Source organism: Homo sapiens, chromosome 3, assembly GCF_000001405.40.
Source record: "Homo sapiens chromosome 3, GRCh38.p14 Primary Assembly".
Classification (NCBI taxonomy): domain Eukaryota; kingdom Metazoa; phylum Chordata; class Mammalia; order Primates; family Hominidae; genus Homo; species Homo sapiens.
Window position 1 is genome coordinate 126,463,647 of NC_000003.12, and position 24,183 is coordinate 126,487,829.

General features: G+C 52.4%; 2 protein-coding genes across 9 annotated transcripts in view, besides 5 other annotated features; both read right to left on the bottom strand.

Moving 5' to 3' along the window:
- Window positions 1-12,245, bottom strand: part of ZXDC (ZXD family zinc finger C) — a 38,291-nt gene extending 26,046 nt beyond the window's left edge. For 6 of the 7 annotated variants that reach the window (NR_104249.2, XM_006713741.3, NM_025112.5 and 3 more), the window contains exons 1-5: window positions 11,313-12,245; window positions 8,507-8,659; window positions 8,327-8,405; window positions 7,249-7,379; window positions 2,509-2,679 (exon numbers count right to left, since the gene is read on the bottom strand). Coding sequence is in view for 6 of the 7 variants with exons in the window: in XM_006713741.3 (XP_006713804.1) it covers window positions 2,509-2,679; window positions 7,249-7,379; window positions 8,327-8,405; window positions 8,507-8,659; window positions 11,313-12,219 (1,441 nt within the window). In the remaining variant the exon portion in view is untranslated. The remainder of the gene's footprint in view (window positions 1-2,508; window positions 2,680-7,248; window positions 7,380-8,326; window positions 8,406-8,506; window positions 8,660-11,312) is intronic. The other variant, XM_011513119.3, reaches the window with a different exon arrangement.
- Window positions 4,090-5,067: an enhancer, noted in NCBI's record as "H3K4me1 hESC enhancer chr3:126186579-126187556 (GRCh37/hg19 assembly coordinates)". NCBI's record gives its function as "activates a minimal SCP1, AML or CMV promoter by ChIP-STARR-seq in naive H9 embryonic stem cells {active_cell/tissue: H9 hESC(naive)}" and the evidence as "EXISTENCE:reporter gene assay evidence [ECO:0000049][PMID:30033119]".
- Window positions 10,592-11,117: an enhancer, noted in NCBI's record as "H3K4me1 hESC enhancer chr3:126193081-126193606 (GRCh37/hg19 assembly coordinates)". NCBI's record gives its function as "activates a minimal SCP1, AML or CMV promoter by ChIP-STARR-seq in primed H9 embryonic stem cells {active_cell/tissue: H9 hESC(primed)}" and the evidence as "EXISTENCE:reporter gene assay evidence [ECO:0000049][PMID:30033119]".
- Window positions 11,675-11,934: a silencer, noted in NCBI's record as "silent region_14677". NCBI's record gives its function as "represses an Ori minimal core promoter by ATAC-STARR-seq in GM12878 lymphoblastoid cells {active_cell/tissue: GM12878}" and the evidence as "EXISTENCE:reporter gene assay evidence [ECO:0000049][PMID:35858748]".
- Window positions 12,005-12,514: a silencer, noted in NCBI's record as "silent region_14678". NCBI's record gives its function as "represses an Ori minimal core promoter by ATAC-STARR-seq in GM12878 lymphoblastoid cells {active_cell/tissue: GM12878}" and the evidence as "EXISTENCE:reporter gene assay evidence [ECO:0000049][PMID:35858748]".
- Window positions 17,520-24,183, bottom strand: part of UROC1 (urocanate hydratase 1) — a 36,608-nt gene continuing 29,944 nt past the window's right edge. For both annotated transcript variants that reach the window (NM_144639.3, NM_001165974.2), the window contains 2 exons: window positions 19,723-19,822; window positions 17,520-18,839 (listed from right to left, as the gene is read on the bottom strand). In NM_144639.3, coding sequence (NP_653240.1) covers window positions 18,699-18,839; window positions 19,723-19,822 — 241 coding nt within the window. In that variant the 3' untranslated portion in view covers window positions 17,520-18,698. The remainder of the gene's footprint in view (window positions 18,840-19,722; window positions 19,823-24,183) is intronic.
- Window positions 22,408-23,343: an enhancer, noted in NCBI's record as "H3K27ac-H3K4me1 hESC enhancer chr3:126204897-126205832 (GRCh37/hg19 assembly coordinates)". NCBI's record gives its function as "activates a minimal SCP1, AML or CMV promoter by ChIP-STARR-seq in naive H9 embryonic stem cells {active_cell/tissue: H9 hESC(naive)}" and the evidence as "EXISTENCE:reporter gene assay evidence [ECO:0000049][PMID:30033119]".

Genomic DNA, 24,183 nt, shown 5'->3' on the forward strand with positions numbered 1-24,183 from the left:
TGATGTCACGCTTTCCATAGGACTGTCCCCAGCAGCTTCCTGACTGTGCCAGCACCTGGCCCAGAGGAAAAGCTGCTCTCGGTTCTCTGATCCTATTTCTCCCATGCCAGCTGTTACTGTTCCCAAGCTCATACCTGCAGGCTGTGAACACCTGGCCAGAATGTCTATTATATTTTATATTTTTAATAATGCAAATCTACAAAAGAAGTCTATTCTAGACAAAAAGAAAATCAAATTCAGAATGTATCCTCTTTAGTTGTCATATTACTTTAAAGATTAAAAAAAGTATCAATATAGTATCACTTCTTCAATAAATATCCCTTAGTACCAATGAAGCATTTTGAAAGAAAATGGTAGTGATCCTTTGGAGAAATTAAAAATGGAAAACTATGTCAGTTTTTCAAAACTTCCTAAAAATTCCCTTGACTCTCTTGAGGACTCAGCTCCCTGTGAAGAGATCATGAATAATCTCAGTGCAAATGATACCCACTTATTAATAAATTTCTTACTTAGCACTTTACTAATTCTATAAACATTTACTACCAGAGACCAGACATGTACAAGGGCCAGATATTAACACAATCACTAAATAAACATTAGATAGCAGAGCATCTGGCAAAACAGTCATGATCACCACAGTTCAAAGCCCAGCCCCAGCCCTTCTTGCAGGTGTGACCCTGGCAAGTCCTTTCTATCTTGGTTTCATCAGTGACAAAGCAGTGAGGAACCCACTCCCAGGACCACCATTAGGGGGACTGAAACAACCCATTGAGGGCGTGACATAATCCCACGGTAACTGGGTGTTCTCGAGTGCCTGTTTTTCACTAGACGAAAGGGTGACACCTGGTCTTCTACCCCTGACAGCTGGCAGGGGGATGACACACAAATAAGTCATTGTCACACAGGAAATTCAATCCTGGGATACATAGGTTGCTACAGAAGAGGGTCTCACATCCCACTAGAGTTTAAGGAAAGTGCATCTAGTATAACACTGGGCCTCTGCAGACTTCTCAATTGGCCAGGTCAGGAAAGGGGAAGTGTGCCATGAGAGGGAACGGCCAAACAGGGGAGAGGCCTAAGTGATGTAGTCTCACAGAGCCCTCAGAGAAAAGGGGCCTGGTCATGTGGGCCTCTGTGAGCAAAGGTGACACCCTCCAACATGAATCAGGTGGCACGCACATTCCGTGTCCTCAAGACACTACTAAAGCCAGAAGGGCAATTTATTTAAATATAAAGCTGAACGGCAACTGCTGTAAACTGTGAAAGATCAGTGTCCAAGATCCCAAGGAGGGGCTTCATGACCACTTCTAAATAGGATCACAAGAAAGCAAAGGCCACAGAACTGCCCTGAGCCCAACCCCTCACCAAACTCTGTGCGAGGCATGGAGGCCTGTCCCTTGCCAACGCGGCAGCTGTGACACAGCTGCGCCCCAAAGCCGGTGCTCTGCTGTGGTGCTGCTGGTCACACAGGAGACGTGAGGACCCAGTTGGTGACACACACAGCCTCCACGGACTGAGCAGCAGAAGTAACTCTAGGGCCAGCTAGGATGCCATCAGCCAGGCCCGGTGAGGAGCGACAACCGCACCAGGGCCCAGAGAATAGGGCACATGGGTGTGCTCCCCAGAGGGGCCGCCACCACAGCTGCCAGGCACTTCTGTATCCTGGACTGTGGAGAAGGCCTAGTGGGGTAGGTTTCCTAGTCCCATGCTGCAAAGCTGCCCAATGACTAGGCACTCACACACTCAGCATTCCCCTCACAGGTCACCAGGCCACCGTCACTTTCCTCTCTAACCCTGCCCTCTCCAGCCCTCGTTACTCCCAGTCCACTCCTGAAACACAACTCTGCTCTAGCCTTTGTTACTTGGAGATAGAATAGCTGAGGCAGACGGAAACACAGGAGGGGCAGGTTCAGAATTCAGGACAAAAGTCCCAGTGAGAGACACAGGCTTAGGGGACATATGCTAGGGAAAGTCAACAAAGTGAAACATTCTTCCAGGAAAGCATTTCAAAGACATGGGAGGGGCAGGGCATGGTGGCTCATGCCTGTAATCCCAGCACTTTGGGAGGCTGAGGTGGGCAGACTGCTTAAGGCCAGCAGTTCAAAACCAGCCTGAGCAACATAGTGAAACCCTGTCTCTATAAAAAATGCAAAAATTAGCTGGGCATGGTGGTGGATGCCTGTGGGCTCAGCTACTCTGGAGACTGGGGTGGGAGGATCACTTGAGCAGGAGCCTGAGGTTGCAGTGAGCCATGATCACACCACTGCACTCCAGTCAGGGTGACAGAGAGGGACCCTGTCTCAAAAAACAAAAGACATGGGAGGGATTAGAGGGTCAAAGGCAAGAAAGTGGCAGAGAGTGCAAAAGAGGCCACTTGGCTTGGCAGCCACGCCCACAACCCCACTGCCTGACGCCTTCCAAGAGGTGAAGAAGGAACAGACGGCACTGGCACTGTTCCCGTTTCTCACAGGGAAGCAGCTCCCCATGGGGGCCGTGGAAAGTGCAGACCTTGGCGCCGGCTGTGCTGTCTGACCATGTGCGCCTTCATGCTGTGCTTGGAGGTGAAGAGTCTGTTGCAGGTAGAAACTGGGCAACGGCTTTTCGGAGCACCCACATCCTGCACGTGTTTCTTAGAGTGAATGTACAGACTGCTACGAGCGGAGAACCTCGCGCAACATCCTGGAACAAAAAGAGTAATGAGAGTGAAACCCAAGGATCACCAAGGAACCAGGAACAAGTGACACTTCCCCATCAGATCAGAACCACCAGACCTGCATTTTGCACCCTGGCTACTGGCAAGGACAGAGACCAAATATCTCTAGAAGTAGCATCACAAGCAATTCAAGTCAAAAGCAAACTGTTTTTAAAAAGCAAGAGATACAGTGAAACCCGTAGGGAGATTTGAAGTCCTACCTCAGCTATGCCTAAGCAACCTCTGTGCCTGTTTCTTCACCCACTACATGGAGATGTTGGGAAGATTAAGTCAAATTAAGTATTAACTGCTTAAATATTCAGTTGAAAACAATTTATTCTAGTCATCTCGATTAAGCTATTATCATAAAAAATGTAATCCTAGGATGACATTTAGAGCTGGAAACTATCTTGACAGATCACCAAAGCCAGTCCTTTCACTTTCCCACTGAGACAATGGATGCCCAGGGAGACTGAGCAGGTGTCCTGGAGCCCAGAGCTGGCAACTCCTTGCTTACACTCCCAGTCCACTTATGTCTCTGATCTGCACACAGGCATCAGAGGAAAAACAAGACACATTCAAAGTTACAATCACCTCCCCTCCGTGCCCTGGCTTTCTACTACGCTGGAGCTCTGCCCCATATGGACACAGGAAGGAGACGTGGAGCTCTTGGCGGTCAGAGGCCTATGACCTGGTAGGGGCAAATAGAACAGCCAGTTGCTGCAACAAAGGGCAGAAGGAAGTCAGTGCCAACACTGAAACATGCAAGCAGCAGAGGAAACCACACACCTCCCGAGAAGGCAGAAAAGCGGTCTCAGGAGTATGCAGCCCTCGAGGTGACTGGGCCACCCTGCAGCAGAGCAGATGGTGCTCCTGCCGCAGGAGCTGCCCAGCCAAGGCATGGGGGCATGAAGGGCAGCAGTGCAGGCACCCCAGCCTGGGTTCCAGTTCAGCCTCTTACCAGCAGTGTGGCCTTAGACAAATTATTTATCTTTTGCGGGTCTCCTTTTTCTGTTCTGTGAAACGGGAGTGACACCTACCTCACAGGGGTGCTGAGGGCCCAATAAAGCCATACCTGCCTACAGAGCCTCTGCACGGGCCTAAGCAAGTGGTGCGAGCAACGACGCACTCGCGGCACCTTCTTAAGACGGTGGGGTGGTACTGCCAGAGCCCAGCGCCTGGAGGAGGGATATTTTAAGGAAAGAGGCTATGAAGATAGGATACGGCCAGATGAGTAAGGGCCTTGGATGCCTGTGAATATAGTTTTCAACTACATTTTTCATTTTCTAATACAGCTGCAAACTCGTTTCCAGGTCAGGCTCGTCAAAAACCATCTGGGAAACAAAGGAGACAGTCCGACGGCCCAGGACTGCCCTGCAAGCGCGCAGTTTCCTCTGCATGCCCTGCTCACCATGGTACACAGGGTACCCTGGAACCCCCTTTCCCAGCTGGGGGTCCTGAGCACGGATTTCTAGAGACAGGTCACAGAGCAGAGGCTCTGAGCACATCTTCTGTCAAATGCCTTCTTGATGGCAGGGCCACGCTACAACAGGACCCTTGCACACTCTTGCCAGCACTGGGTTTCCATTTTTTAAAGTACTTGCTAATTCCATAGGCAAAAAATATATTTCATTTTGGTTTGTATTTCCTGCGACAACCAGGAATGTAATCATTTCTCCAAGTGTACTAACTGCTGGCTTTTCCAAATTCTGCCAGTATATTGAGATCTGTTTCCATTCTTTACAAATCCAAGCTGCAACCAGGGAGAGGCAGAAGCAGCCATCACTGACAGACCTGTCTGCAAAGCTGCATTCAGAGGACAGTGAGGCGCTCACATGGACGGCCAGGCAAGCACAAGGCTCGGCAACACGAGACACAGGCCCCAGCACACATAGCCCCGAGGCCGCAACGAGGCCACCCAACACCTGCCCTCAGACATACTTCTGGTCTGTGGCCTTGTCCTTTCCTCCTCCTCCTGTTACTACAAAAAAAGGTAGTTTTGCCTTCTACTTTTTATTACAGAACAGTTCAAACACCTACCAAAGTGGAAAAAATGGTGTCATCAGCCCCAACTATTGCCCAACCCCAAGAATGATCAACTCTCAGTCCAGCTGAGAAGAGGTTCTGGGCTCCTCCCACCAGCTCCAACTCCATCTCCACGTGCTGCCCATACACCACGTGGGGAGTGCCCAGTTTCTCTCCCAGCACAACACCTAGACTTGCTGGAAGAAACAGAGCTCTACAGAAACAAATGCCCTATCCTCCACGGCCAACTCCCACCTTTCCCCTTTCCCCAGTCACCTCTGGCAGAAGTGTCAGCACAAACCATCCCCATCTCCCACTCAGGCCACCTCTCAGGGCACCAGAGCAGGACTCTGCCTGAGTGACCCACGGAACCTCATCCATCAGCACACCAAGACAACCCCGCAGGTGGCACCGAGGCATGTGTTCCCTGGTCCTGGCTCACCCTAGCACTCCAGGTGACCCCCACTTCCACACATTCCCCACTCACCTCAGCACCACCCCCACTGTGCTGTTGCTGGTCCTGCCAGTACCCGTCCCAGCCACTCCACCGGAATCTGGGGCAGCCCCAGGGCTCTGTCCTAGGTCCTTTTTAAGAAAATCTAACAGCAATCACAACAACGACAGTAACTGACATATATACTGATGTTTTCCATATGCGCTAAACTTAGTAACCAATCCAGCCTTCTCAACAACCCTGGGAGGTTTTATTCACTTTACAGATAAGGAAGAGGCACAGAGAGCTTCAAGTGTTTGTCCGAGGCCCCAGACCTACTTACGTGGCAAACTTAGGACTCGAATCCAGGCAGTCTGACTCCAGAATTCAGGCTTTTGATCAACTACACTACCCTGACTCTCCTCCATTTATACTCTTCTTTGAGAATTTCATCCACTTTTGTGGCTTAAATGATGATTCGGGTGCTGTCTGCTTCGCTCCCTGCCTGGCCTGCTCTCCCCAGCACCAGTGGCACATCCCCTGCCCTCTGCGCATTAGACGCACAAGGGTACCAAAAACACAACATGTCCAAACCAAACTCTGCTTCCTCCAAATCCACTCAGCTGACACACTGACATCAACTAAAATCCAAATCCATCACCATATACTGTGACTTCTAACTCCCACCTCTGCTATTGATGCCCCTTTCTCTTTTCCCACTGTTAAGGCCCCCGTCCAGGCCATCCCACCTCCCCACACCCCTGGCTGCTTTCAATCCTGAAGCCAGGCTAAGCCACAACTCAAACATGATGACATCATACGCTCACCCAAGCACTCAAGCCTGCCACTCCTGGCCCTGAGAGGCTCTCCCAGGCCACTCCGCCTCCAACACCCACACGCACGTGTCTGGTGCTCTCCCCTCTTCTTCAGCTGACCGCGAGGCCGTTCTCACCCCGGTCTGGGGAAACTCTCTGCGCCCCTGCAGCACCCTACATGTTACCTGTTCCCCTGTCTGCACCTCCAGCTGAAACTCTGACGGAAGGAGGAACTGTTTCTCAGTTACACCACTTGTATATATGTTCATTATGTTCTAAGAGCTAGGCTCAGCTTTAAATGGGTCTTTATTATTCTCTCTTCCAGGTAAGGAAACCAAGGCCCAGAGAAGCAGCTTGACTGAGGCCACCACTTTAGGGAGCGGTAGAGCCAGACTTTGAATCCATGACCACCCGACGTGTCCTGGCTCACTGCCTCCCAGTGCACCTGCAGAACTAGAGTAGGGCCAGCACGCACAAGTCACGCACAGGTCACGCAGCCAATTTCTGGCAAATGAACTGAGCCTTCAGTGTTTTAAAGGAAAAAACCACTCTACTATACCTTTTAAAAAGTCAGGTTGGGCGTGGTGGCTCACACCTGTAATCCCAGCACTTTGGGAGGCCAAAGTGGGTGGATCACTTGACGTCAGGAGTTTGAGACCATCCTGGCCAACATGGTGAAACCCTGTCTCTACTAAAAGCATAAAAATCAGCCAAGCGTGGTGGCATACGCCTGTAGTCCCAGCTACTCAGAAGGCTGAGGCATAAGAATCACTTAAACCTGGGAGGCAGAGGTTGCAATGAGCCAAGATCACACCATTGCATCCAGCCTGGGTGACAGAGCAAGACTGTCTCAAAAATTAAACAAAAAAAGAAAAAGTCAGTCTAGCTTTACTGCTCTCCAATTACAAAATGATTGGAGTGACAATTCAAACGTGATCTCAAAAGTACCTACCATTTACTGAGTCCGAGCTCCATGCCAGATGGATAAACAGGCATTTTCCACATTTCACCTAATCCTCACGACCACCAAATTAAACAGGTAACTTAACTAGAGCCACAGATCTAATGAGGATCAGGGCCATGAGTCAAACTGCGTCTGATTCTCAAGTCACTGCTCCCAAAATAGTACAATTAACTCAATGAGGTAAGTAAACATAATGCTGCAACTTATATTGAGTCAGTCTTTAAGCAGCTAACATTTACCTTTAAACAACGGAAACTTAACAGGATAAATGTTGGCATTGCACTTAGTTTACTGCTCAAAGCAATGTTTTAAAATCTACCTTCCACAGGACACTCGAACGGCTTTGTGCCTAGGTGGGTTATGCTGTGGCCTTTCAGATGCTCTGCTCTGGTGAATGATTTCCCACAGCCCTCGACAGGGCAGGTAAACCTCCGGTCATCGTCATGTTTCCTGCCAGACAGAAAAATAAAGGAGCTGTGATTCCTCACACAACTCACCATAATTCTTTAAAATTCTACAAAACATACCAAAACACAAACTTTGCATTTACAAAAATGATCAGTACATTTCGGAAAATCTTAATTCTGTCTTTAATCCATGTGAGCAGATTTGCAATTTAGCTACCCCATAAAAATTCTACTTTAATGACTAAGCTGACCCCAGAGTCACACATCAAACAATTAATGCTACTTCAATCTAATATAAGCTAATCTAAGAACAGTGGAGTCCCAAATGTATTGATGAAGGTGTTTCTATTGTTTAGAAACCCCAATGATCAACAAGCTTTCCGAGCGACAGACGGTCGTGAGAAATGTGCACAGAGCATCAGCTGCAATGCCAAAAGGACTCTCTTAAGCCAACTTGTAAAGACTGTGTCTTTTCCTAAGTGACATTTTTATATTAAATCCTCAGAGCCCAGCTGTGCAAGTACAGAAAAACCACTGAATCTCTCCGAGTCTCACTGTAAAACAGGGAGAATAAGAACATTAGCTTTGAGGTTGTTGGGAAGGTAGAAGACACACATGTAAAGTGCTGAGTGTCACCTGGACACAGTCTCCAGGGTTGTCATTACCACCATGAAAACTTGTAATTACATGAAGAAAGCTTATTCTACAATGTTAAGTTAAAAAAAAAACCTGGAATTGTTTTTTTTTTAAGAACAGAGTATGCCAATTTAGCTTTTTTTAAAAAAAGTATACACAGAAAAAACTGACTTCAGGTGATGAGATTCTGAGCAATTTTCTTTTTACAGTTTTCTGAATTTTCCAAATCATCAACACTGAGCTCCTTTTTTAACAACTTAAAAAATGTCTACAGATATTTCATTCATTGGTTTCTGCTGCTGACAAACCACTCATTTTCAAACCTGATAATGCAAACCAAAATGTAAGGATTACCTTCTGTGCCTTAGAAGTTTGGACATGCTGGTGAAGGTCCAGCCACAGCTGTCAGAGTCACAAATAAATGGTCTTTCACCTTATAAAAGAAAAAATTATACAGCATAAAATTTACAACTCCAACAGCTACGATGAAGACAAATCTTGGGTCCAAATGCTGTGCGTTCCCTAGCTCATTACCTGTATGGCTCCGCAGGTGAATTTTCAGCCGACAGGCTTTATCATACTGCTTGCTGCACCCAGGAAAGGAGCAGGAAAAGAGCTCTTGTTCCCTGAAGTGGGCTCGGTTATGGGAAAACAGGGCACTCACTGTGATAAATGTCTTCTCACAGCCTGAACAAGGAAAACACAAACCCTGCTCAAAGCGTGGCAAAAATTATACAACATAGCTAATGCTAGTCACACCCACCAGACCCTGTTCACACTGAAGCAGACAAGGGAAAACATGACTCAGAAGCACTCTCTAAAAAGGGAAGACCATTAATGCTTGGCTTTGTGATCACCACAGGAAGGCAGCTAATGGCAGCCAATAGGCACACGCTGGCCACCTGTTGCAACATGACTTGGAGATGGAGCAACCGATAAAGAGAAAGTCCTCCGTTCACAGCCATCTACTGGCCGGCTCCGGAGCACTGATCCTGCACACACACTGAGACCCAAGAACCCCATGAGAGAAATCAAATACTAAGGAACAAGATTTTGTCTGGTAGGGTTGATCTTTGAAAGGCTACAAATCATCCTACTAGCCAGGATTTTTCACCCCTTGGGGGTGATGCTGCATCCTCTACATATCCAAATTTCCTCCCTGACACCCTCCAACTGCCAGCCCTGTCCCTTGCTGTTTGGATTCTTTTTCCTTTCGCAATTTCCTTAGGTTCCCTGCTTTGTAATCTTCACCTCAATCCTAACCCCTGGCCAAAGCAGCTAAGCCTCAACAATTCCACAGCAATACTTCTCCTCCGACAGAAACATTCAGGGCTCCAACAGGGTGGAAAACATGAGGCTGCAGGATGTTTAACAGGAGTCTTTGCTGCAGCTCCTCTTGGAGCCTTTAACGAGATACTATCATGCCTATGAACTGCCACACAGATGTACATGGCATAGCACTGCCCAAAAGTATCAGCCCAAGGAACCCTACTTTCCCCAGCAACATCTAACTCAGAAATGCTGATCTTTGGCCTCAATCTGGTCCCAAAATACCTCCAGGGTATTTTGGGCTTCGGTGTGTTCACACACTTGGTCATGTAAATCTGAACACAGACTCTCTCTGCCTTGGCAAGAACCCCCCACACCCCCATAGATAATTACACCCTTTGGTTCTCCCTCTGCAATCTCACCTGCTAGAGACCCTCATCATTCCCACTCCCTGGCTCAGGCCTTCAGAAAACTCAGGTCTGGGCCCTTTGATGATGCTTCCCTGGTCCTGCTCCTGCTTCTAAACATCTAATCTCATCTAACCATCTAATCTCATCTCAACACAAGAAGCCTCATGGATCAGCCAACACAAAACCCTCAAGAGACCTCATGCCTGGAAGCAGGCGGGATCCCTGACCTTCCCAGTGTCATACACAGAATGATACTCTTTTAGCAGGGAAAGGGTCTACAGCCACCATCAGATTCCCAAGAGTGTATGACTGAAAAAGACTTTGAGCTAGTGGCCTCAAGCCACATTCTCTCTGAAGAGGAATGCGCAAGACAGTCCACAGGCATATGCGAGGGAAAAAATAATAAAACCCGTTCATAATTCTCATCTCATCCTTTAAAAATTCTTGTTTAAGGACATTATAAGGAGAGCCGTGTGCATATACAGGTTAGGGGCATGCTAGGCACACATTCCAGTTTCTGTTTGAATGACTGGTCCTTCCTCCTGGGCCCTCACCACAGACCACAATCCCCACCTGGGCTCTGCCACCCAGCCGACTCCATTCTTCTGCCTTTCCAGGGAGGAATCCTTTCTTGCCCTTCTGGAGGAACCCTATCCCTGTGAAAGCAGGGAAAGCTGCCCATCCTGGTGAAGAGCTCACTGTGTTGGAGTCCTACATTCCCAACAACTGCAGGTCAACACACAGGAGAAAGAACAGGCAGTGGACTTTTTTTTTTTTTTTTTTTTGAGACGGTGTCTCGCTCTGTCGCCCCGGCTGGAATGCAGTGGCGCGATCTCGGCTCACTGCAAGCTCCGTCTCTGGGGTTCACACCATTCTCCTGCCTCAGCCTCCCGAGTAGCTGGGACTACAGGCGCCCGCTACCACGCCCGGCTAATTTTTTGTAGTTTTAATAGAGACGGGGTTTCACCGTGTTAGCCAGGATGGTCTCGATCTCCTGACCTCGTAATCCGCCCGCCTCGGCCTCCCAAAGTGCTGGGATTACAGGCGTGAGCCACCGCGCCCAGCCACCAGCAGTGGACTTTATCCACAAGGCTCGGCCTCTGTCTCTTCATCTGTAAAAGAGGACAGTTTTTAACCTTCACAGACGGCTAATTTTTAAAACTTCACAAAACTGTGAGGTTCAACGGAAATCAAAGTGCAAAAGGCAAAAAAAGCCAGGATGTGCGCACACCTGTGGCTATCCTCCCAGCGTGTTAAGGTCCTGAATCTGGCCACATTCATCTCTGCTCCTCTAGCACGGAGTGTGCACCCCGTAAACAAATGACGAGACTGAGGAAAATAAAGACCTGACACATAGCTCCGTGCCACTCTGTGAAGATGCGTGCCGCTTTCATCAAGCACAAGCAGGTTAAGGATATCTGTTGCCGCCACCTTTGGGAAGCGCAGCTGTGGTGATCTGCGCTACCTGCCATCGGAATCCCTGCGGCAGGGCAGGGCCAAGATCTCAAATCGAATGACATGGAAGGAGCTAGAATACAAATCCCGAAGAGCCTGCGTCCCCGGCTTGCTAAGGTCTGGCAGGCCCCTCTGTGGGGCGGACGTGGCACCCCAGACCTGCCTGCAACACCGCGCAGCCCGCCCGCCCCCGAGAGCGCGGTTACCGGGAAAGTCACACTTGTAAGGGCGCTCGGGCTCGAAGTGGCTGCGCTGGTGGGAGCTGAGCTTGGCGTGCGTGGGGAAGCGCTCGGCGCACACCTCGCACTTGAACAGGCTCTCCTGCTCGTGGCCCTTCATGTGCGCCTTGAGGTTATAGACCGTAGTGAACTTCTTGCCACAGCCGCCCACTGGACAGCCGAAGGGCCGCAGCTTGTCGTGCGACTGCAGGTGCCGCTTGAGCTTGTAGGACGTTGTGAAGGCCCAACCACAGCCCTCCAGTGGGCACTTGAAGGGCCGCCGGCCCTGACCGCCGCCGTGCGTGAGCAGGTGCACCTTGAGCTGGTGCTTCTTGGCGAAGGCCAGCGCGCACTGCGGCTCGGGGCAGCGGTAGCCGGGCGTGCTGGGGCCGGAGGCCTGGGGCGCGCGGCGGGGAGCGGCGGCGCCCGCGGTTGCGGGGCCGGGCGGCGCAGACAGCGCGAGGACGCCGCGGTCGAGACGCACCAGCAGGTCCTGGCTGCTGATGGTGACGGCGCCCGCCGGGGCTACGCCAGGGCCGGGGGGGGCGGCCGGGCCGCTGGGGCCCTGCTCGGGGCGGCTCGCCAGGTTGACACGGGAGCCAGGCTCGGCCTCCTGTGATCCGGCAGCCTCGGCGGCAGCGCCGCCGTGCGGCACTTCCAGCAGCACCAAGAAAGAGTCGCCGTCGCTGTCGTCCTCGGCGGGCGGCGGGCTTGGCCCGGAGGCCTCCCCGGGCCGCGCCCCGGGCCCGCCATCTTCAGGGCCCCGCACCAGTAGCAGGCGGCGGCGCGCGGGGCTCGCGCCGAGCGGCGCTGGGGCTCGGCGGAGCGGGCCGGGGCCGCCGCCATGTTGCCCTCCGCGCGCAGTCGGGGCGGGGAGCAGCGCCGGGAGGTCCATCTTGGTCCCAGCGACGGCGTCGGAGCAGCTTCGGACGCAGAGCTGCCCGCGCCCCGCCCAGGTGTGCGTGCGCCGCCCCGGGACGCGATCCGCGCCAAGCCCCGGCGTAGAGTCCGGCTCGGAACCGCGCGTGCGCGGACGCCGCCGGGCGATGCGCGAGGCCTGCTGGGCTGACGTGACGTGAGGCTGGGCTGCGGGGCGCCGGAGGCGGAGGCGGGGGCGGGGCGCCGGGACCGACTAGGGCGGGGCGCGGGGTCGGGGGGCGGGGCGCGGGGTCGGGGGGCGGGGCGCGGGGTCGGGGGGCGGGGCGCGGGGTCGGGGGGCGGGGCGCGGGGTCGGGGGGCGGGGCGCGGGGTCGGGGGGCGGAGCGCCGGCACCTACGAGGGCGAGCGGCGGGGCACGGGACCGACAGGGGACGGGGTGAGGCTCCCAACGCTGAGCGATTCCTTCTCGTTCCCGCTGGCGTGGAAGACGAGGCTTGTCTTGACTTCGAATCGTATTAATATTTCAGACACTTAACAGGCAACCTCTCGTAGGCATTGACTGCGTCCCAGGGGCTGTACCTGTCCGAGCTGATTAAGCGTGCGCGGTCACCCAGGGGTGAGGAAACAGGGACGGCGAGCTCGAGTCACTCGGCAGCCGGCAGATCCAGGATTCGAACCTGTCCAACAGGCCGGACGCCTACCCCCAGCTCACTTAAGTGCAAGCTCGCCTGCCGCCGCTGGCGCACAGACCTCGTTTGCTTTGGCCCAGGTCCTTGCTCGGCACACGGGGCCTCCCTGATACGCAGGACCCCTGCCTGTATTTCCAACTGTATTTCCTACTAAACTTGGCACAACCTCACTCTGCAACAGCTTAATTACTTACTGTTTCCGGTCCTCACCCTCCCCCACCTCACCGTACACCTCCGCATTCAATCTGGACTCCTCCACTTCAACTTCACCACCACTCAGATCCAAACCCGCACTTTATTCCTGGGTACCTGAAAAATAACTACTAGCTGGTCATCGGTCTCCCTCCGCTCCACTCGCTCCCATCCACGGGGCACCGTTTTATGATCTAAAAATTGCACATCAAATTATGCTCACCTCCACCTTGCTCCCGAAGGCGCCTATGGCCTTGCTAGTCTACCCTCCCCTACCTGTTTGCCCTCACTTCCCGCCACTCTCCCGCTGCCCCCCCCACCCCTCCCCCGCACCCCACCTCTTTTTCCCAGTTCATCCAGCAAGCCAAGCTGGTTCCAGCCTCAGAGACTTGGCGCAGCTGATCTCTGATTCCTCTGGGAGGACTCTGCGCCCCTTCTGATCCAAAGCACATGCTTACCCAGTCCCGTATTCCCACCTCTGTCTGATCTGTTTGCTCTTAGAGCTCTCATCACCCGTTGTTTTGTTGAGTTCCTTCCCTGCTCCTTCACTGTCTCTCCCTCTCTGGAATGTAGGCTCCTGGAGCCCAGGAACTGTGTCCTATTCACTGTGTGTGCCCAGGAAGACTCTTGGTGCATATTTGTTAAATACATGAATGCTTTATTATTAAGAGTATTTTTTTAAGTAACACAAATTATAATATTAAAAAGAATAGGATACATCTATTATATATATCAGTTTATGCCGAAAACATATTGTTCCTAGACCATTCAGTAGAGGAAAGAATAGTCATTTCAATAATGGCGGCACTGGGACAACTGGATCTCCACATGCAAAAGAACCAATTTGGACGTGTATCTCTCATCAGAGGCAAAAATTAACTCAAATTAGAGCAAAAGCCTACACGTAAGACATAAAACTATTTGAAGAAAAGTAGGTGTAAATCTATGTGACCCTGGATTAGGGAATAGTTTCTTAGATATAATATTGAAAGCACAAGAAAGAAAAATAGATAACTTGGACTTCATCAAAATTAAAAACTTACTCAGGTAAAAGGACACCAATAAGACAGTGAAAAGACAACTCAGAATGGGAGAAGGGTGTGCAAATCGAATATCTGATAAGGATCTACTATCTGGAATATATAAAGAACTCTTAGCAAGAAGACAAACAGTCCACTTTTTTAAAAGGCAAAGGTTTGAATAGACATATTTCTCCAAAGAAGATAATACAAACAGCCAATAAGCAAATAAAAAGAGGCTCAACATCACGAATCATTAGGGAAATGCAAATCAAAACACAGTGAGATACAACTTCACACCTACTCAAATAGTGGTAATTTTTTTAAAAACAGGATATAGAAAAATTGGAACTCTCACATATGGCTGGTGGGAATGTATAACGTTGCGGTGTGGAAAACAGTTTGGCAGTTCTGCAGAAAGCTAAACATAATCTCCACATGACCCAGCAAGTCCATCCCTGTGTTGCTGAGGCTGGAGTGTGGTGGCTATTCACAGGTGCAATCATAGTGCGACCTCCAACTGGCCTCAAGCAGTCCTTCCGGGTCAGCCTCCCAATTAACTGGACTACAGGCATATGCCACCATGCCCAACTTGTTGCGCAGCATTGATTATGCCACATTCTCGTGATCAAAGAAGTCATAAGACACTGCAGACCCAGGCAAGGGGAACTTGTACTCCACCTCTCAATGGGAGGTGCTGGAAAGAATTTGCAGCCATTTTTAAACTATCACAACTTCTCTGTGCCTCAGTTTCCTCATGTGTAAAATGAAGGGGACTGAGAAAGAAAAAGGGCAGCCCCTGCCATCCAGAAACTGGCCGGGTGCTACAGCTGGGCCACTCTGTTCTGTAAGACTTGAACCATCACGCAGAAAACCAACCTAGGCCAAGGTCACTGAAACACAATGACATGAGACAAAGCAAGGCCACTTCATGATGTGTCTCCACCCAGATAAAGCGAGGTCACTTGCTGTGCCATTTACAAGATACCCAGCAGCCCCTCTCTCAGCTAACGTGAGCAGCCGCCGCTTTTGTACCCCTGACAGCCTGTCTGTCTGTGTGCTTCCCTCTCTGTATATAGGATTTAGTCAGAAACCTAGTCATGGTGTTGACCCGATTTCTGGTAAGAGCCAATCCAGAGCAAATCCCCGCTTCCTAAGACTCCCCCACCCAACCAAAGCTCAAATCTGATACTAGGTTGTTTCAGATACTAGGTTGTTTCAGCCTTCTGCTGAGATACCCTGAAAGGAGCAACAGGACTCCTGGCGAGGGTCAGACGCGCCACTTCACCAGGTGGGCTTGAGTCAGCTCAATGTGGTCATCCAGTGGGGCTCAGGCAGAGACTTGAACTTGGTAGTCTCAAAGGAGTGCCCCAAATTACAAGGACCACAGAGATTGTGCCTTGGCCAGCCAGACCTGTACTCTCCAGGCTGTGTGGAAAGGATTTTGGAGAAGCCAGGGGAAGGGACGCAGATGACACACGCATGCACGCTCAGATTTATTTGTGTCTGGGGAGAAATCCCATCAGCCCAGGTATCGCTGGATGTCCAGCACCTCTTTTGGGCTAAAAGGCATCATGTGGATCTTGAGATTGCTAACAGAGAAGTGTCCAGGATTCCCAAATTTTGATGGGAGTGGGGATGAGGTTCACTGGGAGCAAAAGAGCATCTCTTTGTCAAAGGTCACAAGTTCAAATCCCAGCAGAGGTCATACAAGTCACACAAATGTGGGAGACAGGTGGGCACAGGAAACATAGACTCTCATGCCAAGGGACAAACAGCATACACGCTCCGCCTCACCATGGGTTCTGTAGGGACTGGAAGGGACTGTGGCCAAGTGCAGAGAGCTAGGCCAGCCCAGAGGGGCCCCCAGCAAATCACTGCCACAGAGGTGGTGAGAACATGGTGTTACCTTATATCTTGATTTTCAAAAAATAAGCTCTGGATTTCTCCCAATTTGTAAACATTGGTGACAAAGTCAAATTTTTTTAAAAACAGGACAGACCAAACAAAACACAACTGCAGGCTGAGTGTAGTGCTGTGCTCCTGTGGTCCCAGCTACTTGGGAGGCTAAGGCAGGAGGATCACTTCAGCCCAGGAGTTCAAGGCTACAGTGAGCCATGATTGCACCACTGCACTCCAGCCTGAGTGACAGAGCAAGATCCTATTTCTAAAAAATATATAAATAAAACATAACTGCAGGTCATGCCCGGCCCACAGGCCCCTGTGTGGTTGTCTACTCTGGGAAAACTGGAATGGGAGAGTGCATCACTCAGCCAGGCCCTCCCTCCCTGACCTTGGCTTGCCAGCAAGGAAAGCATACAGTTCCCAGGGACCCTGGGTTTGCAGAGAGCAGGCGCTGCCCAGGGGGAGGACCCTAATGCTGTACTGCAGGGCCTGAGCCTTTCTCACCTCCAACTCTTAAGGCAACTGAACCCTACACTCATCATGGCCAACTGGTTTCTCTTTTAATCATTTTGATGAAAACATTTCTAACTGGACTATACATCCTTGCCTTCTGAAAAAGAAGATGGCACTGGGCACATCAGAAGCCACGCTGTTCCTTCCATGGCGACTACAGCTGTGACCAGCTGCCCCAATTCCGCTGTGAGCCCCGTGGGAGTCAGCTGTCACTTACCACTGCAGCAGCAGACAGCAGGTTGGCATGCAGGGGCCAGGGAAGTAGCTTGCTCCCTGGCATGGCTTGGTATGGAGCCCAGAGGGGGTCTGGGGTCTGTGTGCAGCTGGAAGCCACCAGAGCCCTCCCTGTCCTTCAAGAGGGAAGGTGCTGGATGGGGAAAGGGTGATGCCAGGGCCCTGTGGCCCGCTCTTAAGATGTGTGCACAGATCCATGCAGCAGGGTGCTTTCATGGAGATGTGGGGACAGACGATTCGTCCCTACACACTCTGTCCTGTCTCTCTCACTATCTCTGTCTTTCTCTCTTTCTCTGTCTCTTACTCTCTCTATCTCTCTCTTTCTCTGTCTCTTCCTCTCTGTATCTCTTTCTTTCTCTGTCTCTTCCTCTCTCTCTGTCTCTCTCTGTGACTCTCTGTCTGTCTCTGCCCCTCTCTGTAACACTCTCCCCTCTCTGTCTCTGTCCTTCTGTCTCTGCCCCTCTCTGTAACACTCTCCCCTCTCTGTCTCTGTCTTTCTGTCTCTGCCCCTCTCTGTAACACTCTCCCCTCTCTGTCTCTGCCATGGAAGGATGCAGTGAGAAGTTGGCCTCACCAGGAATTACGCCAGCTGGCACCTGGTCTTGGGCTTCCAGCCTGCAAATGTGTTTCATTTCTGTTGTTTGGGCCCCAGTGCCAGACATTATGTGGCAGCCGCCCTAGCTGACCAACCTGGTTGCTGTGTTTCCAGGCCCCACATCTTGGTTCTGGCAGGACGAAGGGGCGAAGGCAAAAAGCAACCCCGCTGGATCTGTCCATTTTATTAGAAAAACGACGGCTCTCAAGAAGCCCTGCCCCACAGACCCCACCCTCATCTCGTGGGCCAGGACTAGGCCAACAGTCCCTCCTAACAGCAAGGAAGGCTGGAGAATCAGGTGGTTTTATTTACCCTATATTGCTGCCCACACAAAACTAGGCTTTTGTTCACAAGGGAAAGGGGAGAATGGCTGCTGGGGAGGAGATGCGGAGTGCAGGGAGGGTGGGGACCAAGAACCCGGCTTGGTCCTGGAGAGGGCAGTGGCCTGCCCCTCTCCAATCCACCGACATGTGGGGTGTCTGGTTTTCTGTGGCCCTCAGAGGCCCACCCACAGACTCTTTCTCATTTCTCTGTTTAGGATGAGTTATCTGTTGGTCTGTTGCACGCCCAGCTAAGAGAATGAGATTCATGAGCCCTGGCCCTGACAGAGGCCACTTCCCCCATCCCGGTGACCTCTCACGAGGCTCTGGACCCAGTCATTACCGGGCTATGGGATTGGGGAAGGGGTGCCAGACTCCAGCCTCAGGGGCCAGCAAAGGGTCCCCTTTGCTGTACCCCTCAGGCTGTGCTGGCCTAGGGGGGTGCCCCTGCTCTCTCATTTCTTCCCCAGTAAGTGATCATTTATCCTTAGGGCAGACCCGGCCTGCCCGTCCCACCAGCCCACAGTGCAGCACACAGCTCTGTTGACCCTTTATTTCCTGGTCTATCCTCCTTCCCGAACTCCTCCAGGCCAGCAGCCCAGGGTGCCAGGGTCCAGAAGTTGCTTGCACAGACAGCAGATGGGCAGCAGACAGACAGAGTTGCATGGAGGCTGGCAGGTGGCCAGGAAGCAGAGGGTGTGATCATCCCAGCCGGAGAGAGCTTGACCAGTGTTCACCGCAGGGCCCCCGGGCAGGCTTGGGACTTGGCCCTAAATGGACTTTGACAGCCTTCAGGGCTCCCATGCAAGTGGCATGGTTGTGGACAGAGAGCTGCATGTCTCTGGGCCTCAGGGGGCTGTCTGTAAAATGAGGCTGTGGTGGCACCCTGCACAGGGCACCATAAGGGCCACGTGAGGATGTGCGAGAAGTGCAGGTAGTGCGGGTGTGCAGGAAGGGTGTGTGCCATGGCTGGGCAGGTGAGGATCGCCAGGGAGGAAGGGAGGCAGGGGCCGCGACTCCTGGCTCCCTCAGAGCTGCAGGGCCTGCTGGAGCACCCGCTCGTCCTCCACCTTGTGAGGCAGTGTCACCACCAAGGTGCTGTTCTCCTGCATGGTCTGGCAGATGATCTCATAGGCCTTCTGGTTCCCTGACCAGCAGCGCCGGGCCACCTAGGGCAAGGAGGGGGATAGCAGTCCATGTCAACATAACCGGGCTCCCCACGTGAGTCTTGGCTCCCACACTTGGGGCCTCTCTGCTTCGGGACCTCTGAGGCTGTCCGTGGGGACAGCTGCCCTTTTGTGTCTGCCCCATTTCCACCCCCAGCTTAGGCTCCCTGTCTCTGGCCCTCCTCTGGGATCTGAAACTGGCGGTCATCACACTCAGTCCTGCTCCCCCAGCTCCAAGAATGGCCTTGCCTCCTGAGTCCTCCGCAGCACCTCCCTCCCTTCTAGAATCCACCTCAGCCTGAGCTCTACCTTCACAATGTCCCTGCAGTCCTCTTTCTTCCCTCCACCTGGTCTCCCCTGGATGATGCCACGCCTCCTCCCCCATTCCCCTCTGCCATTCTTGCCACCCCCGCCTCCGCCTTCCACACAGTCACCACACCTGCCCCCAACCCACTTTTCCATGCCACAGCCGGGGCATCTCCTAGAACAAAACCTCTTGCTCTGGGATGAAGACCTCCATCCCCAGCTCCGCCAGAAGCCCTGCAGCTCCCGGTGAGATGGGGTGAGTCTCCTGCCAGCACCCTCTCTGTCCTCATGCTCACGCTCCGGGCCCAGCCCAGGGGCTTTCAGTCACCCAAGCTGTCTGAACTCCCGCCTTTGCTCCAAGCCTCCCCTCATTCTCTGGGTCCCACCTGTCTCCCCATCATCACCTGACCTGACCTCCATTTGAGCTGATTCCCCCTTCCTGGCTGCTGTGCTGTGGTCATGAGAGGAATCCGGCCCCCATCCCCACACCCAGGAGATGCTGTATGACAGCAAACGTGGATGGGGATCACCCAGCTGAAGGCCCTGCCTTCAGGAGGTGGCAAGGACTGGGCTGACTTACACCATTGGAGACATCCCAGCTGAGCATCAGCCTGGCTCTCCCCTCGGCCTCCGGGGTACCGTCCAGCACGAGGCCGAATCCCCCGTTGATCACCTCACCCCTGCAGGAGGCAGAGGAGTTTCCAGTTCATTCCTGGGGCCCAACACTGCACAGAGCAGGCAGAAGCCCATGTTTTGGAAGCATTGGCTTGAGACGGCGTCAGGGTTGGGGCCGCCACACCGCCAGCCTCTGCAACCTGGTGGATGCAGGAGTCGTGCAGGCAAGCACAGCTGGGAGCAGCGTGGTTACCTGCCACCTCTCTGCCCACTTGTGCCCCCTGTGCTGGGCCTGTCGGCCTCGTGCCCACTTCCACCACCCATTGGAGGTCATCCCTTGATGGAAACCTCCTGGGTACCCCCAGTGGGCTATAGCTGCCCCCTCCCTGCATTCTCAGAGTGCTGCCCTATAAAGCACACTCCCCTTGGTGTGTCTTGTATTACTCAATTCAGTCATCACTCTTTCTGGTTTTATCTTTAAAAAAAATATTTTTTTAGAGATGGTATCTCACTATGCTGCCCAGGATGACCATGAAATCCTGGCCTGAAGCAATCCTCTTGCTTCGACCTCCCAAAATGCTGGGATTATAGGCATGGGCCACTGTGCCCCCACCTGATTTTATCCTTATGATCTTTATCTTCCTTATCTCTTCTTTCTGCTTGCCTCAAGTGTATGGGGGGTCCTTCTGATTATTTGATCTGAAGGCTAAGTTCCTTTATTTTCAATATTTCTGGTTTTCTAATTAATGCATTTCTCTCCTTCTAACAGTTTTTGATATGTTCTTGGTTTCATTTGTTTCCTAGTAGATGAGTTGAACTTCATTAACTGTGTTGAAGCTCTGCTGCTGCTTCCATGCATGTGCACTGGAGCTGTTCCCCATCAGCCTGGGATGACCTTCCCCATCCTCAGCCATTCACCTACGAGCTGCTGCCCTTGAAGCATCCAGCCTTGGCTCCTGCTCAGTCTTCTCAGCTTTCAGTTACACAAGAAGCACCCTTAATTTTGTAAACGCCTGTCGTTGTGTTGTTGCAAATGTGTCCCTCCTGCCTCTTATTCCTCACTTGCAGTATATCTGTTCCTTTTTCTTCCAGCATGCAAAATGTGCATCTAGTTTCCCTTGTCTCAAATCCTTCAGGCCCATCCAGCTTTCCCTGCTTCTCTGCCCAGCCTGAATCCTACTGACCACAACCTCAGCCAGTTCTCACCAGGAAGCCAGTGAGAGGTGCCCTGTGCCCCTTGCAGCCACCTACACTCCCCATTCCTGGTCCCAGAAGCTGCACCCCTCCTGCAAGTGAGCCAGCTGTGCTGCCTACCACCCTGCACTTGCATCCCTGCACCTGGGCAGTCCATGGCCTGCAGTGGGTTGCCCTCACACCTCCCACCAGCCTCCAGGTGGGAGGTGCTCCAAGTCGATCTAAGGTCATTACCATTCATCTGTCAGAGGAGCAACAGCCATGCCCAGGCCTGAGCACTCCCAGTGTCCTGCAGCTAGAGAGGCCTCTTGGAGATTAGAACTACAGATTTTGTTTTAGAAGCCTGCATCCCAGAGGGTCAGAGACCAAGGCCGCTCAGCTTCAGGTGACCTTGGCAAACTGACCACAGAGGAACTCTGAACTTGCAGATCCCAGGAAAATGGGAACGCTAACACATTGCTATTAATGGTGAATTTGAGGTAACTCACAAATGGTGTTGGAACAACTAACTATACCTTTGAGAAAAACATGAAAGTAGAAAAACATAAATGCCAGATGTATTAAAGTGCATGATTCGATGAGTTAACATACATGAATAGTGTAGAAGGCCTTGCACATGTTAACACTCTACAAGCGTTCGCTATCATCAGCTCATTTCCTCTTCACCCCTAGCCTACAAGGCAGTTGTTATTATTATGCTTATTTTCTCATTGAGAAACAAAGGCACAGCAAGGCTACCCTGTGCAGGCAGATGGCCTGAGAACTGCTGTCAATCATGGCACTCCAGGGCTGTCCATCGGGGCATCATCCCCTGCACATGGGCAGAAGGCGTGTGGGTGGGTGGGGGAGGGCTGTGTGCACAGACAGGGCCCTGGAAGCCCTGGCTACTCAGAGAGGTCCTCGGGGCAGAGGATCAGCGTCACCAGGAGCTTGCTAGAAATGCTGAATCTCCATTCCACCCCACACCTGCTTTTTTTTCTTTGTTCCCCATTTATTTATTTATTTTTTTTTGGTAGAGAGGGTGTCTCACTATGTTTCCCAGGCTTTACTCAAACCTCCTGGGCTCAAGCAATCCTCCTGCCTTAGCCTTCTGAGTAGATGGGACTATAGGCGTGCACCACTAGGCCTGACTCAGACCTGGTGGTGCACGCCTATACAATAATCTGCATTTTAATGATATCCCCAGAGGATTTCTGTGCACATTCAAGTTTCAGATGCACTGTAAGACATTGTTTAGTGTGAAAAAGTGGCAGTATCCAGATATATAATAGATGGTGGATAGAACACAGCCATTTACCCCTGCCCCTCCTGCATCTCACCAACAAAACTGCAGAGGAATTATTTAACCCACAAGGATGAGGAGAAAGGGACAGGAGAATGGGTGATGGGATTCTGAAAGCTGGAGGCAGGCATCAGAAAGCTCCAGCGCAGTGTGGCCATGGGAGGGACCGGCAGAATCCATCGGCGCCCCAGGACCCAGGGAACCTCAGGAGCTGGTGGTCAGCACCAAGGGGCTCCGAAGGAGGGCAAGAGCAGAGGTAAAGTTGGAAACACCGGCTGGAAGCCTGCTCACCTGAGGTGGGCTCCCAGATGCCCACCCACCTGCTGCCTAGAGGCTGCCCGAGTGGGCCCTCGGTGGCCACTGGAACTGACCCTCTCACATGTGAGGCCGCAGCACCAACAGGGAGGCCTCACCCCTCTGACTGGGTCCTCCCAATAGGGAAAGGAGATCAGAAAAGTCTTTTCTGAGGTCCAACCAACCCAAGAACAAGAGCCTGGCTCTTGTCTTGATCTCTTGCACTCTGTGGCCCAGCCAGATGGCTCTGTCCTGCAGCCTGCGGTCCAAACGTCCACCTGAGCATGCAGGGCTGCAGCCAGCCAAGTAGTGCCCTGTTTAAACGTGAGCGCTGGGCAGATGGCACAAAGACAGACGGCAAATGGGCAATCAGGAAGAGGGGCTGCAGGAGACAGTGGCACAGAGGAGGCTAGAAACAACACACAGCTGTCACTGGTTGTCCTGGAGTGGAGCCAACAGACAAGTGGAAACATGGGAAGTTCGGTCCAGGAATGTGAGGGTGAGCGCACAGCCTGGAAACAGGGATCAATGCGCAGGAAAGAGAAACTGCTGCAGAGTTGCGGGGGGTGGGGCGTCCCCTTGGAGTAGCCACGGTGGGGATGGAATTGGGAGTGGCATCCCTTTCGAGTAGCCACGGTGGAGACAGAATTGGGAGTGGCGTCCCTTTGGAGTAGCCATGGTTGAGGGATAGACATTTTTTCCGATGGGTTAGATTATGTACATGTGTAAGTGTGATGGGTCCCAGGATGAATTTGTGGCACTTTCCCAAAACACCCCTCAAGGGCAGCAGGGTAAAAGGTTTTAGGTCCCAGTGTCTGGTCAGTCTGTGTCCCTGTCCACAGAGTCTGGGGGAAACCTTGGGGGAGCAACTTAGGAATTTGCAGGGAGCATTTCCTGTCTTGGGGAGGCCTGCCCTCAGGGCTGCCTGAATTCTGGCCCTGCTGTCCCTGCCCTAAGGCCCTGAGGGTGTGCACTCTTCCTCGGCCTGCCTTCGGCTGTCTGTCAGCAATGATAATGGATCCTGGGGAACCTGGGGTCAGACCGTGGCTCCATCGCCAGCTCTGTGGCCCTGGGCAAACTGCTCAGCCTCCTTCAGAGCCACTCTCTTCCCCTCCGGAAATGACTCAGGAAATCCTGTGCAGAAATGCCAGGTACCCAATAGCCAGGCAGCCCTTTTCTGCCCGGAGCTTTCTATAGCCCCTGTGTTGGAAAGGACATAGCCTCAGTCACATTTTCCTCTAATTACAGCCACCTGACTGCCGCAGTGCGGAACTGCAGCCTCCAAGGACACGAGGCCAAGCCAGCCTGTCGGAATGCTCCACCGGGACTTGGCTCTGGAGGGCAGGGGACCACTAGATCCGGCCAAAATAGGCTCAGAGGCCAGTTTGGAGATGGCCACTGGAGCCAGGCAGGGGGCGTTGTCCTCCCTCCGAAGCTGCAGCACCCCTTGCTGCTCCCCGCAGCCCAGAATCCAGCTTCAACCAGGAGCCCAGATCTGGGGAGCTTTTCTCATAGAGAATAGCCGGGCAGGGGCAGAGCTGGGAGCCGAGGGGAGAGGGGAACCAAGACACCAGGTCTCCTGCCCCCAGCCCAGCTGCCCTGGGAGCCTTGGCTGGGTTTTGCACTCTCAAGTGAGGTGGTCAGAGCAGGAAGGAG